Source organism: Homo sapiens, chromosome 2 (assembly GCF_000001405.40).
Source record: "Homo sapiens chromosome 2, GRCh38.p14 Primary Assembly".
Lineage (NCBI taxonomy): Eukaryota > Metazoa > Chordata > Mammalia > Primates > Hominidae > Homo > Homo sapiens.
The window spans coordinates 7962104-7977368 of NC_000002.12; the positions used below are offsets into that span (position 1 = coordinate 7962104).

The 15265-nt window shown below is 43.2% G+C and overlaps 2 long non-coding RNA genes across 2 annotated transcripts in view; both read right to left on the reverse strand.

The window, feature by feature from the left end:
* LINC00298 (long intergenic non-protein coding RNA 298) overlaps nt 1–14711 on the reverse strand; it is a 54390-nt gene extending 39679 nt beyond the window's left edge. Inside the window, exons 1-2 of the long non-coding RNA NR_015405.1 lie at nt 14606–14711; nt 6042–6176 (exon numbers count right to left, since the gene is read on the reverse strand). This is a non-coding gene — a long non-coding RNA (long intergenic non-protein coding RNA 298). The remainder of the gene's footprint in view (nt 1–6041; nt 6177–14605) is intronic.
* LOC124907727 (uncharacterized) lies at nt 1514–3490 on the reverse strand. The gene is made up of 2 exons (XR_007086197.1): nt 3105–3490; nt 1514–2475 (listed from the first exon to the last, which is right to left on the reverse strand). It is a non-coding gene; the product is annotated as an uncharacterized LOC124907727 (long non-coding RNA).
* Nucleotides 14712–15265: the final 554 nt, after the last annotated feature.

Consider the following 15265-nt stretch of genomic DNA (forward strand, 5'->3'; position numbering starts at 1 on the left):
GTTACAGAAAGCATGGCCTGTTCAGTTTCAGGGGGTAAAATGTGTCCCTTTCAATGTGGAGAACTATCTGAGGCCCTTTCTAGGACTGGCTCTGCATGTGCTGAATGATCCATACCAATAACAGGATCTGGTTCTAGCAGGTCTAAGAAGCCTACCCACTACCCTTGTTATTCAGCATCTGTTGTCTGAGTCAGGGTAGAGAGCTGTTACTCCATGGGGACAGTCACAATACTTCTCCCAGCCTCCCTGCTGCAGGACGTTCCATTGTGCCCCACTAAATGCTAACAGACTCAGATTTCTGTCAACACCGTCCTTACCCTCCTGTACTTCACCTGCTCCCCAGGACCCAGGAAGTAACGGCCTAGCTCTCCAGCTAGGCATTGAAAGCCAACACCTGTTCACAACTCATCCTAACTCAAGTTCCTACTGTTTCCCCTTCTGGCAGCTTACACTCTTGCCCCAATCCTTAGCTCAGGCTAAACATTTCCTTTCTTTTCATTCTGGATTCGAATCCTAATAAAAGATGAAGATACAGTTCAAATGCCTCTTCTCCTTGAACCTTGGCTTTCCTCTGTAGTTCTAAATGAGCCGTTCTCCTCTTCCCTTCCACAGAAATGGGCTCAACCGGTCTGCGGCCCTGGTCACTGTGTGTCTAACATCACAGTGGACTCACACTCCCATCGTCTAACCTCGATGGTCTGGAAGGAGCTGAGGGTAGATTTCATGTGTGAATCATCTCTGTGGCCCTGCTGGGATCACATGGCATCCTGAAAGACTGTTGGATGTTTAACACAGTGGGCATTGGGACAAGTTTATCTATTTTAAATCCAAAAACAAACCATTCTGATTTATTTTTAAATTAATTTTCCAGTGTATATATACCATGAGTATAGTAACAGATGTTCCTTGGATATTCTAAAATGTATACTCATTAACTATATGTAAATTCAATTGTTTTTAAATTGTTTCCTGCCCCAGTCTCTCATTATCATGTCATTCTTGGCCATTCCTAAAGGCCCACCCTCACCCCATTAACCAGAGGTTAAAGGTCAAGGATGAGGTGAGAATTTCTGCTGCATACATTACTTCATAATTTATTTTTCTTGGTAATAATTTAGAGGGATTTTTATCTTACATAATGAAATGGATGTAAATATTAAAACTCCCACAGAATCAAAGCAGCCTTGTCTTCACAAACACATCCACCAAGAACCCTTTAATTCAGAACTTACGTTACATAGTAAGTGATTAAATGATAATAACTAATATTTCTTATTCTTCATCTTAACTATTTTCACTGAGGCTTAATTTGATGGCACCTTGGGGTGCCTTGTTGGTATCTTAAGCTATTTCTCCAGCTACTATAGAATGAGCATTAATCATGGAATCAAAACTTGTGGTAAGCTTTATAATTCATCAGTGGTGTTTTCCCTAGGAATTCAGCTAAGAAAGGACATATAGTGAATGTATTAACCTGTTCTCACACTGCTATAAAGACATACCTGAGAGTGGGTACTTTATAAAGAAGTTTAATTGGCTCATCGTTCTGCAGGCTGTACAGGAAGCATAGAGGCTTCTCTTTCTGGGGTGGCCTCAGGGAACTTCCAATCGTGGTGGAAGGCAAAGCAGGAGCAGGTGTCTTACATGGAGGAGCAGGAACAAGAGACAGCAGGGAGGGGCCACACACTTTTAAACAACCAGATCTCATGAGAACTCAGTACCACCAGAACGGCACCAAGAGGAAAATCCACCCCCATGATCCACTTGCCTCTCACCAGGCCCCAACTTTAACACTGGGGATTACAATTCCACTTGAGATTTGGGCAAGGACACAGATCCAAACCATGTCAGTGAGGAATAATGACTCATTTGTAGAGAGTAAACAGGCTTTGTTACAAGTTCTGCGACACTGAACTCCAACTGGTTTTGATGGTATGACTGTTCCCACTGGACGAAGTCTGTTCGAGGTTCTTGCCCCAAATATCACAATTAACAAGTTGTAGAAATGAGATTTGAACCCAGGTCTGTCATTCCTCTGCTTTTCCTATGACCCTGGTTGGCCTTCCTAATTAAAGCCATAAATCTGAGTCGGTCAGGGAAGTTGCTTTACTTCTTAAGTCTAATCTGTTTCTTGCACTGTTCCTGCATTCTTCACTCACCTTGTTAAGGGGAACAGAAAGACTTCCGCCTACTCCAGTGTATCTCTGATGAAAAATGAGAACTTTGCTCCGATCCTTTCTAAAATGAAAATATTCCAGCCAGTGTTCACGTGCAGTGACGCTGTTGAGAGATCATCCCAGCTCCCTAACGGTGTGAAAAGCAATTTCACACACGCCTGTCTCCAAGCGGCCTGTTCCACGGATTAGCCAGACAGAAAACACCTGCCTGCTCCTCCCGCGTGGCCAGGGTCATCAGACACAAAATGGATGTGATCAACTCGAAGCCTTGTGAGGAATTCAGCTGCCCCTGGAAAACCTGTTTGCAAATGGTCACCTGCTTTGCATTGTTTACTTGGTGAGAGGTAGGGCAGCATCATTTTGTAAAACACCGTAAGAAAAGTTGAAGAAGTGATTGCCCGCCCTACCTCTGCTTCTCCAGGCCCACTTCCTTGGGCGGGGATCCGGAGATGCGGCGGGGAGACCTTACCTTCCTTCTCCCCAGCCACAAGTCCTCTCCCACCTGGCCATCCAAATCCCATCTACTGAGGATGAATGGGACCCAAGAGGCATATTTCTGAACTGCTGCTAAAAGAGGTATTTATAATGGATGGAATTTTCATAGTTGCTCTATGTAGGTCTGTTTAAGATATGAAAAAGCTGTTTGAGTTTCATTTGGCGACAGAAGCTGGAGCAATAGAAACCCTCTTAGGTCACTTCATCTATCCCTCTGCCAGCACCTCTTGTATATTGGTCTTTTTAAATGAAACAAGGGGCCGCTACTGCCCGGGAAACTCATTCCGCTGTCTAATAAAGTGCCACGGGGAAAAATGTTCCCTAGTTTCCAACTGAAATGCCCCTCTTCCAACTTGATTTTGTTAACTCTCAGTCAAAGTAGATTTCCCCGTAAAATGATTTTTCCTTACCGCACACACGTCTGATACTTACTTCCCCCAACTGTAGGGCAAAACTTCAGCTGAGCCTGGCAGGAACGGTGGGGCAGGCAGAAGGTGCTGCTCCAACTGCCACCGATCTGGCAGAGTGGCTGCAATACCAGGGATGTGGCCTGGCAAGGCAGCATCACCTGAGGACGGACTCGTTCCCAGCAAGGACTCCTCCAAGGAAACCAGGCTTGTTTTTCCGAAAATTAACTCTGAAATAAAGGGTCTTGCACATGTCTAAGGTTTTACTCTCCAGCATGTGGGCTGGGGGCCGGCTGTATCCACATCCGCTGGAGCCTGTTAGAAATGTAGACTCCACCGGGCACGGCGGCTCACGCCTGTAATCTCAGCACTTTGGGAGGCCAAGGAGATTGGATTACCTCAGGTCAGGAGTTCGAGACCAGCCTGGCCAACATGGCAAAACCCTGTCTCCATGAAAAATACAAAAATTTGCTAGGTGTGGTGTCAGGAGCCTGTAATCCCAGCTACTCGGGAGGCTGAGGCAGGAGAAACGCTCCAACCCAGGAGGTGGAGGTTGCGGTGAGCCGAGATCACGCCACTGTACTCCAGCCTGGGTGACAGAGCCAGACTCCTTCTCAGGAAAAAAAAAAAAAAAAGGAGAGAAAGAAATGTGGACTCTCAGGTCCCAGCTCACAGCTACTGAATCTGAATCTGCATTTTACCCTGGCTGCAGTGGAATCACTTGGGGAGCTTTAGAAATGTTGGATGTCTGAATCCCGCCGCCAGAAATTCGCATTTAATTGGCCTGGCATGTCGCTATGCATGGGGATTTTTAAAAGCTCTAATATTCAGCAAAGTATGGGAACCACTGCTTTAAGACACACTTTCACCCTGCAAAGTTCTTCTAGAGGCCCACCAACCACACCAACCTCCTTGAGCTCACACTGGCTGCACCCTGCTGCACACCCCCTGGCCTTAGCCCACTTTGCACAAGGAAGCACAGTGGGGGCTGCTGGGGGATCCAGCCTGGCTCTGCCTTTTACAGCTGTGCCGCCTTGGCAAGCTTCCTAACTCACAGAGGCACACTTATCTTTTAAATTAGATTAATAATATTACCTGCCTTTCCAGGATGGAGTGAGGGTGAAATGAGCAATGCAAACATATGACAGGCTGGACGAACCCTCTTACCTCTCCTCTGCCTTAAGAACTATTGAACTCACACTCAAAAAAAAAAAAATCCGTAAACCAAAATTGTCCCAAAAGGGAAGGAGGAGGGATTGACTGTCAGCCAGTATAGAACTTCAGTCAACTTCTGAAAGATGACACGGCTGGACCACCCGTTGACAATTGAACCATCAGAGGAAACTGATGTGGAGAATACCCACAGGGAGATGGTGGGATGCAAACTCATCCTCCCAGAACATCCTCTTGGAGATGCCGGGCTGAGGGTCCACAGGACCAGGGAGATGGTGAGATGCAACCTCATCCTCCCAGAACATCCTCTTGGAGGTGCCGGGCTGAGGGTCCACAGGACCAGGGAGATGGTGAGATGCAACCTCATCCTCCCAGAACATCCTCTTGGAGGTGCTGGGCTGAGGGTCCACAGGACCAAGAGGGGCATGAGAAGTGGAACTGGATATTAACTACAGAGCTCACCTCCTTGCCCAACCTGCCAGGGAGAGGCTGTCAGATTGGGTTCAGTTGGCCTCCCAATCTCTTCTTATGTGGATGATCAGTCAGATTGCCATGTCTCATGCTGGTACCTGTTGTTGGACTTGTCCTGCAATTCTGAGACCCTCACCTCTTTCCCACTATATAGTGACCTCCTGGAGAACATGATAAAGCTGTTGTCATCTTGCTGAGCCCACATCTCCATAGTCCACACAAATAATGTTTGTTGAAGCAAAGTGATTTTTCTAATTTGTCTTTCATCCCCACTCACAGCCTGGAAGCTTTACTCCTGCCCAGTATATAAAGCATGCAAAATTGGGGCTGCTTTTCCTCAAACGTCTAGCTTCCACACTCTTCTTCTGGCCCTACTATTCATACATGCCATGCCCACATTCAAGAAATCCTACTTTTTAGCCACATCAAATACAAAAACTCAAAGTAAAGGGATATTTTGCAAATAGCCAAACCATGGCATAAGGGAAGAGCTAGCTGGTCATTTCTCACAAGGTGGCATTTTCTTTGTAAATTATCCTCTATCCTTAGTTTGCTCCTTACCGGTTTGGAAACCTTAATTTATCATCATCAAAATAGAAAGGTTGTATCTTTCATGACAGTCTCACATTAACCAAGTAAGCAAGACTGATTTATAAACTAGAGGCCAATCCATGGCTGATCTACTCACTTTTATGTGCCAATTCTGCCTCTGGATATGTTAAAGCAGTCAATTAATGAATTCACTCAAGCTCAAGCTAAGATTGGCAAAGTGGGAGCTATTCTGATCTGTGAACGTGCTCTTGACTGTCTGCTGCTCCGGACCTGTGTTGATTTCATGAGACAGTACTATAGAGTCATGCAGCACACATATCTCGCTTTGGTCAATAATGCATCACATACAATCTTATGGGACAGTGGTCCATAGTACTGCACCTTTACTGTACCTTTTCTACATTTAGATACACAAATACTTTCCATTGTGTTATAATTGCCGACAGTATTCAGTACGGTAACATGCTGAACAGGTTTATAGCCCAAGAGCAACAGGCTATGCCACATAGCCTAGGTATATAGTAGGCTATACCATTTAAGTTTATGTAAGTGCACACTACGATAAAATCATAGAGAGAGGCATTTCTCAGAATGTATCCCTGTCATTAAGTGACTCATGACTGTAATTCTACTGCTAGACTTTTGGGTGGGGAAAGAAACACCTTGCTGTAGTCCTCAAGCACCAAATTAATTGCTATGCTCTAAATGGCTTATTTTGTATTTTTACACTTGCTTTTTTCTACTGGAATGCACTTTCCATACTTACCCATTTGACATATGTTTACTTGTATTTTCGCTTCCAGCCCAAATGTTACTCCTCTCATACAGTTTTCTTGAATCCCATAGGCAGCTCCTGGGAACATCCATTACACTTTGCTCGGTTCCCATGTGAGAATTTGTTCTGTGAAAGACGTCATAAGGCATTGAGTTCTAAAGCAGTAGAAATAAACAAGGCACCATCCCTGATCTCAAACAACCAATAGATTAGTGGAGGAGACAGAAATTTAGATTTATGATTTTATCTAGCTTTGGTCTCTGGAAACAGTTGAAATAAGAAAACCTCTATTTTTTGTCCAGTGATACTTATATACGTCAGAGTACTCAGTTTGCAAAACAAATAAACTGAGTGTGGCTGAGTTAGGCATAAAGGGATTGTATGAAAATGTTGCAGATTAGCTTGCAAAATCACTGAGAGGGTTTGAGCAGCAGATTTACAGGTGGTTCACTGGGAACAGTTCCCCTAAATCAGGCCACAGAACTGGTCTGCTGAAGACAGCCCTGTGGCCCAGCAGCAGGCTGCATCTTGCACCTCAATGCCACTTACCTGGTCCCTGTATGCTGGCACCAGCACCACTTCCCAAGTAAGCAACTACAACCACCACAGCCACACCATGGCCACGCCACGGAATCTCTGTGGTCTCTGCCCCACTGAGGACTTACAGCCCATGGCATATTTGTCTGGTGGTGAGTTCCAAGTCTGTACCCAAGGTGCATGGGAGGTCGTCAAAGCCAAGTACCTGACATCTGAAATTTCGGTGATGGGAGGTAGCTTCTACGTCCCATCGAGGCTCCCAGGGCCCCCATAAAAGTAGCAAAGATCTTGAAACAGAGAATATATGCTTTGGTGCTGGCAGCCAAAAATATGAGATGGATTCATTATGATAAACACCTTGTTGAAAAAGCAGGAAGTTTGGAGGAAGCTCTTAGCAATAGCTTTGGCCAGTGTCTACCTGATGACAAGACCTCCATAATCCCTTAGATTGGGGGAAAAAAGTGAACAGGGACAATGTAGAAGCTCTATCTTTCTCCTTTTCTTTAAATGGAACTTAACTAGAAATACACATAGAAGTAAGCAAAGGTTGTTGATGAACCTTTAGAAAGTATTTATTATAAGAACCTTTCTAAAACACTTAGAAAGTATTTTATCCAACTACTTGGCCTTACAGATCAAACTGGCGCCTTGAAAGGCTAGGGTCGTATTTCCAGGGATGCATGGCTGGTTAGGAGGCAAACCCAAATTAGAACCTAAATCTCCAGCTTTCTATCCAGTTATCTTTCTACTAATTAGTTTTTTAAAAAATGTGCACTCTAAATTACCTCTGAAAGATTCTTGGCACAATATAGATTCCTAGGCAGGTTGGACTATGGCTGGTCAAAATGGTATCAAGTCTGTTCCATAATAGCTACATTTAACTATCAGATTCTACAATAGGTAATTAAATATTTCCCAGGAAATTTCTAAGATCCTCCAGGACATCATTTTTATAAGACAAAAGGTAAGAGTTTAGGTTAATTTCACTTCCCATACATGTAAGTTTAGAACTTGAACAATTTTGCTTTGCTCTGGCCTAACAGAGATCTGCACACTCCGGTTGGTTGATTAGTACATTTGAGGGGTTCATTTTGGTTGAGGGTGATATAAAAAGCATGTGTGGGACAGTTTTCTAGCAACTAATGCTGTACACAGACTGGGTGATAGATGTTGCATCTGAAGACAGCATTAGATATTCAGCTTTCAATCTCTCCTTATGAGCTCTTTAAAATCCAAGCTGTGAAACAGCAGCTGAGGCTTTATGTTCGGCCGCTGCAGCCAAGACCACACAGAACTGGGACGGGCATATGTGCAGACCTGGGGAGGGCTGCTGTGGGCGGGGGCCAGGCTCTGCCGCGTGGGTCACACTCCAAGTCTGTAACTTCTGCTTGTTTTACAGGACCCTGAGCATCAAAAGGAGCTACCTCTGTGTAATTCAGAATGGCGGAGCCTCATGGGAGGGGATCGGAGAGAAAGAAACAAATGCTTCCCAATGACTAACAGCCAAAATGAGGAAAAGGCTTTCCTCACCTCTGCAGAAGGACAGAAAGTTTCAGGGTGGAAGCAAACTTCTCCAAGCTTTGGAAGTCATCACATGATACTGTGGATGTTCCGTGGGAAATTCCCTTGGAACTGTTTCAAAACCAAATTTCCCACTGTCCCTCTAAACCCATTCTTTCTCCAGGATACTTCCTCAGTGGCTGGTGCCACCTCCCATGCAGCTTCCTTTGCTAGTGTAGGGTGAACACTAAAAATCATGCCATTCAGACTGATAGAAACACTGATTATGGCTATTTCGAATTCCTAGAGAATTGACATTTCTTGGAGTCTATAATTCTTTTGCTTAGCAAAATACCTTAGTGGCCTATTTTCTAAGTTGAAATCCTCAAGACTTGCACTGGAAAAGAAGAGATGAATTACTCAACAATACAAAAAGAGAGGATTCCAAGCAGTCTTGGTACCCAAAGAGCGAGTACAGTGCCCAGAAAAGGAAAACCGGAGAAGACAGGAACAGATAATGAGGCATGAAGTGCATTTTTGTAGATAGTGGTGAGGCCAGAGGTACAAATTATCACGAATAACCATCAGAAAGAGTTGTGCTAATAGCCCTGTGGCATTCTGAGACAAAGCAGGTCTCTTGGGGACAGATACGAGGCTGGAGCGAAGACAGCACCTGGACAGGGAGGGCAAAGCTCCCAATGCGAAAGGGGCAGGTAGGTAAAACCTCAGCAGAGACTTTACTTGCCCCTGTGAATGAAGCAGACACAAGTCATTCTAGGCGGATGGATCTGATTAGAGGGACTGAGAGGACCACAGGGTGGGGCGCAAGACTTCTGAGTGGCAGCTGTTATCACAGTCATGAGCAGCATCTGACTCTGATTGGCACCTCCACATCCTGCTGTCAGAGTTCCTAAATGAGGGAATATCCACTGGACTTCCTTTGCCTCATCCTGTTTGCTGTGGAGTCCGATCTCCTTCCAGATGGCACTGGCATGTGCAGAGAGAGTTGTACATTTTTCTTGGGAAGAGTGATAGTTATTGAATCCTTCTCAGAAAAGCTCCACGGGTAGAGAATAGGTACAAAAATGGAATGCTAGTCAGAGAAGTATGTAAAATGTTCAAAGAAAATTTCTAGGCCCCGGACCATGTTATTTCCTAGAGCTATTGTCTAATTTTCAAAAGGTTCAAAAACACAACCCTCACACAAATATGAACATAATGTCCAAGTTCTATTCAGCTCATTAATTAGTGAGGAAGCCACTAAGATGTTAATAGGGGTTCAAAGGAGAATTTGAGAAGCTGGATATTTATGGACAGTTTAATATGAGGATATTAGGAAAAGATTGCTTAGGTGAGAGACACAATTGATTGATATTTTGTGAGGTCATAAACCATATTTGGGAGGAGGTTTCCCCCAGTGGATGGTAATTATTTGCATCTCTACCTGATGAAAATCTATAACTTTGCCCCTAACGAAGCTGTAAAATAGCTCAGTCAACAAAAAGTCAATCAAGGACGCAAAACCAGCTCTGCACTGAGAAAATACTTACTAATCTTCTTTGCCTATTTCCTAACTTCAGATAACTTTTCTGATATTAGAAAGCTCTCAGACAGCTCCTCTTAGGAGTCTCAGGCAGAACTATATTAACATGAACTACAAAAGACAGTTCACACATCCTATTAATTTCTCAATATACCTTAAAATAAGGGTAAGATGAGGGAATAAATGTCTCCGTGAATGAGACTCCAAGAAGAGCCTAGACAACATTTGGCCAAATTAAAAGAACAGACTGCTCAGTGGCACGTGTGTGAAAGGATATTTCTTCCCCTTCTGTCGCATATGGAAAGACTTCTTAGAGTACAAACTCCCATAGGAATGCATTCTTTTGCTAGTTCTCTAGTGGATGAAGAGTAAAGCTGATATTTTTTCCATATAAGATGAGTACGCTAAGCTACACATCTAGAGGAAATTGCCCTATTCATATATTTTTGTTTTCTTTTTCTGAGCTTGCCCAAAGGAATTTGGCAGTCTATCATCAAAAAGGAAGAAAGTATTGGGTTCTAAAATGCTAGCTTCTGTTTCTTTTTTAATTTTTTAAAATAAAGTTGTTTTACTATCTTACCCTTCAGATGAGAGTGTTTTCTCAAACACAGGTGATATGGTTTGGCTGTGTGTCCTCATCCAAATCTCATGTTTAATTGTAATCCCCATGTGTCTGGGGAGGAACCTGGTGGAAGGAGATTGAATCTTGGGGGCAGATTTCCCCCTTGCTGTTCTCGTGATAGTGAGTGAGTTCTCACAAGATGGTTTAAAAGTGTGGCACATACCCCGCTTGCTTTCTCTGTCTTCTGCCACCATATAAGACATGTCTTGCTTCCCCTTCACCTTCTGCCATAATTGTAAATTTCCTGAGGCCTCCCCAGCCATGTGGAACTGTGAGTCAATTAAACCTCTTTCCTTTATAAATTACCCAGTCTCAGGTAGTTCTTTCCAGCAGTGTGAAAACAGACTAATACATCAGGTATCAGCGTAATCTTTTATTTCAGGAGACTATTTTAGCAGTTTCATTTGTAGCTAGTCCTCCTGCACTGAAATCTTAAGTAGACCTATATAATGGCCACGCATGAAGAACTCTTTTGTATGACAATGAGTGGCCAGCTGGGTGCTGAATGGACACCCGCACCTGCCCTGCCTGGGGGAAGTTTGTCAGTCCACAGCTCTGGCGACCTAGAAGAATCTATGCTCTGCTCAGGCTAGGCTGCGATCATCCAGTCCTGAGTCCCACGTCCATGAGAAACACAGTCAGCCTCAGGGACCAAATCCACCCAGGGAGCTCTAAGAGTTCTCGAAGCTTGTTTGCTTGCTGGATGAGCAGTAAACAGGTGTTACAGCAGCTTCCTAGGAGCTGCCAGTGCCCCCATCCTGGACTCATGACCAACTTTGTGATCTGATCCGGCTCACCAAACAATCTGAAACTTTTATACTTCATTCCCTTTCCTGCTCTAGGAATGAGAATCACTGAATACATCAGCCAAATATCTGTATAGCCAGACTTTTCAGTATAACAAGGTTTCCAAGTCCCAGTCACATTTAGATCAAGGCGCATAACGCAACAGATTTCTAGGTCTAACTCAAGAATTTTGATGATCTATTACGGTTTGTCATAATGAGATTTAGCCTTTACTATAATTTAGGGCAAGAAACACTGAATTGGAACCTCAAGTCCAAAATTGTTGTGTAGAGGAAGCTCTCTCCAATCACTTTATAGAATGCATTGATTGCTGGAAATATCATCTTACTCATTCCATGTGTTTCTAGATTTCAGTTTTCTAAGTGCCATAAGCCTACCTAATTTTACCATGGGGCATCTGTAGATATATTTCTACCATGGAATAAAAACTTCCATAAATCTATCCTGTCAGCTGTAGATGCCATTATAGTTTGAGGGTTTTTTTCTCCTTTTCCTAAGCAAGTTAATAATATTTAAATTGTTTAAATGACCCTTTTCCTGTTTCCAAGCAGAAATTCAGAACTTATTTGTGTATTAAGTTAAAATTCAGGCAAATAATGCCTTAGCCTGGCATCTCTAAATCCTCCACTTAAATGAAAACTGATATCTTCAAGGTCATAAAACCTCTGCCTCAAGAGAAACAAACCAAGAAGCCCTAATGATGCCCATTCAGAAGGCAGGACCTTGGTCAGGGCATGAAGACTCGAAAAATCAAATCAATACGGCCGCCAGAGTAATACAGAAAGTGGGCCGAAGAGAAGTGCCGGCCTGAACTCCTCTGTCGGGGATTATACGAGCAGTTTTGTGACCATTTTAAACATTTCTCACATACTTTTGGCTTTGTGGAAACACATCTCCTCTCTTTATATTCACATCTGTTTCCCATGTTAGAATATAAACATATTCAAGAAGTATACAGAAATCCTTTTCTATACTTCCATGTATTTAAGATTTGAATGCATTCACTTGCAGGCACCAAGTGTACTTTAGGAAGGCACAGTTGATTCTTTTTTGGTGAAAAGTATGTACATTAGTGTTTCCTAAGAAGAATGTGCAAGGAGGAATGTAGGAAATGAGCCTTTCTCTTGCCATGTGGGGCTCAGAGTAATAGTAAACATGTTGTCACTTTTAGCCGAAAAACAAAAACATATGAGAGATGATGGTGAAGGGATGACTTCAGAATGTGTTATCTGAGGTTTTTATTTTATTCCCCAACTCCCATACACACATGCATGGGTGCACATGCATACACACACACACACACACACACACACAGAGAGAGAAACACACACCTGAGCTGCACGTGCAAAGCTGCGGAGAAAAATTTGGGTGATTGGGTTGGTGGGTCTTTGGAATCCAGGAAATGAGGGCTGAGGATTCTGGAATTCTGTGGGATCCATGTGGGCCTTTCCTGAGAGTCGGGGAGAAATGTGATCTTGCTTGACAGGGCCAGACGTAGGGTCTCTGTTGGACACTGACTTTGGCTGCAGATTCTCCACAAGTGATGCTGAAAGAAGGCTGGGATGTCTGTAGGACATGCTTAGACTAGTTGACCTGAGAGGTGCTCTGGTATAATTAAGGAAAAAGACCATGGCTCAAAGAGAAAGAAGGTGTTTTTTCATGAAATGTTAGCAAAGCTGAGAATGGCTGGAGATGGACAGGGCAGTGTGGAGGGGCCGGCAGGGTACTGGGGAGATGGGAGATGCTCACATGGAGGCTGTCCAAAGGGGGCTTAGATGGAGAGCTCCTGGATGCTGTGTAAACACCAAGTCCTGTCAAGATACACATCACCAAGTCAGTGGCTGCTGCAGAATGCATCTTGTGCCTTCACCACTTCAGAGTCAGCTTTTGGGGAGAAGGTGACCCTGGGCCCCTGCTCTTGGTCACCTCTCCTGTCCTTTCCTTCCTTGACCCCCATGCAAGCCTGCTCAGTCCTTTGTCTCTGGGGAGATCACATGAGTACACGACTGTTGTCCAAACTGGGACCTTCTAGGGACAGCAAGGGAGGCATGATGAACTATGACGTGAGACCGCAGCAGGAGCTGGACCCTCTCAGGCAAATACGCAGCCACTGATTTTTGCTCCAACGTGAGTTGACTCCAGTATTTTAATCTTTCACTGGAATTTTTCTTTTATAGATTTTCTTCATATTACTGCAATTTTAGGAATTAGAGAAAAGATGAAAAGATATGTTTGGTGACATAGAAATTCCCTCTATTCCTTAGAAGACAAAAGAATAATTTCCCTAGCTCTATCATGTATTTATGATATGATTTGCGGAAATTCCTACAAACTTTCTGTAGCTCTATTTCTTCATTTGCATAAGGCAGTAATAATACTGAATGATACTAACAAGAAAAGTTGTGAATATTTCATGAGAAAATTCATGATGAAGGGGCTTTGCCAAATGTAAAATAGCTCCTAAACGTCTATTGTTTTCGTCATCGTAGCTGTCATCATTATCAGCTTCTAACTCTAATGAAAGCTAAGGGACACTCTGAAACTACATGCTGAATTATTGATCTCTGTTCATATTCATTTTTAATGTCATCAAATTGTTGATAATATAACATTTAACCCTTCTAAACTTCACTTGAACAAAGGGTAACAGGGAGGTGTGAGTTCAGAAAAGAGTGGGCACCCAACATAGACTGACTTACAATGAAATCCACATTCCAATATTTATGAGGCATGAACATTTTCCAAAGAGTGACATGGGAAAATTTGTTTTCTTGATTTTATATGTTCAGCGCTCCAAAATCTAACATGGCAACAGGGTAAGTGTGGGGGCATCATTGAATGAACATGCATGAAAATGCATTTACAATCTCAAATCTCAAAATACGACATGATGAAGTTGCAAATGGGCAATTGATTCTCAATTATAGAAAGCGTTGGAGAGATTTTCTTTTGTGCTTTTAGAATAGCAGAGTGGAGGAGAGGTCCTGGGAACAAACACTGCAGGAGGAGGTCTGTCCTGGGAATCTACATCAACCCACACTTTACGACCAGGGGAAGTGATCTCAGACTTCTGGGTGTCACGAGGAAACTGGCTGAGCTAGATTCTCTCTAATATTCTTTCTAACACTGTAGCATCTTGTGATTATTCAAGAAAGGAAACACGATTAAACGTAGAGCAAAACACAGCTTAAAACCCCATTTACCATCACGTTCTTGAGTGACTGAGGAGGGAAGGAGAGCCTCTCCATTGTACGCTCCTCTTTCATGTCTTAATGATGATAATGTGACGATGATTATGTTGATAAAACATGCTGAGAAAACCTTTTTGTGTATAGAATAAAATGTTTTCTATGGCATTTTTCTTTCCCAGTGAGAATTGATTTGAATCATGATGCCTTACACACAATTTCCTTATCTGTAAAATAGTCATAAGAATGAGATGAGAGATTTGGAGTCAAATAGAACTAGTTTCTATCTGCCAGACAGAACTCTGCCAAATTCTAGAAAGTATCCTTATTTTCTCCATCTGTAAAATGAGATGAATACCTTATCGTGGAGCGCAATGTGTGATATTATGTGCAGAGCACTTAACTGGACGCCTGGAACACGGTGAGGCTTCAGGCCACGCATGCTTCCTTCATTCAAACTGGCACTCACTGCGGCACACCGGCCCTTTTTGAGCACCTGGGTGCAAAGACAAAATGAACAGTCATTGCTTTTGCTTTCGGAAATCTTAAAGGCTAGTGTAAGGATATTAATTAAATAATGACACTAAGTTATGAAGTCTTCTCTGATAAAGTTGTATTTGATATAAAATCTGAAATAAAAGAACTAATAAAGTTGATGTGGAGAAAGAATATGAATAGCTCTGCATGCAAGCAGAATAGGAGGTGCAAAGATGCGGGGCAGGAGGTGACCTTGGGCAGGATGACTGAGGCACAGTGAACAAAGGGTAAGTAGCAAGTGACAAGGCTGCCTATGCCTGAACCATGGGTGTGGTTCAAGTATGTTCCTGCTCTGTTAAAGAAAGCAGGGAATGAGCTAGCTCAGGGATTGGTAAGGTTTTTCTGCACATGGCCAGGTAATACATATTTTAGGTTTTGCAGACAATGGTCCTGGTAAAAACTATTCAACTCTGCCATTGCAGCATGAAGCAACCTCAGATGATACATCAACGGGTGGGTGGGGCAGTGTTCCAAAAAGCTG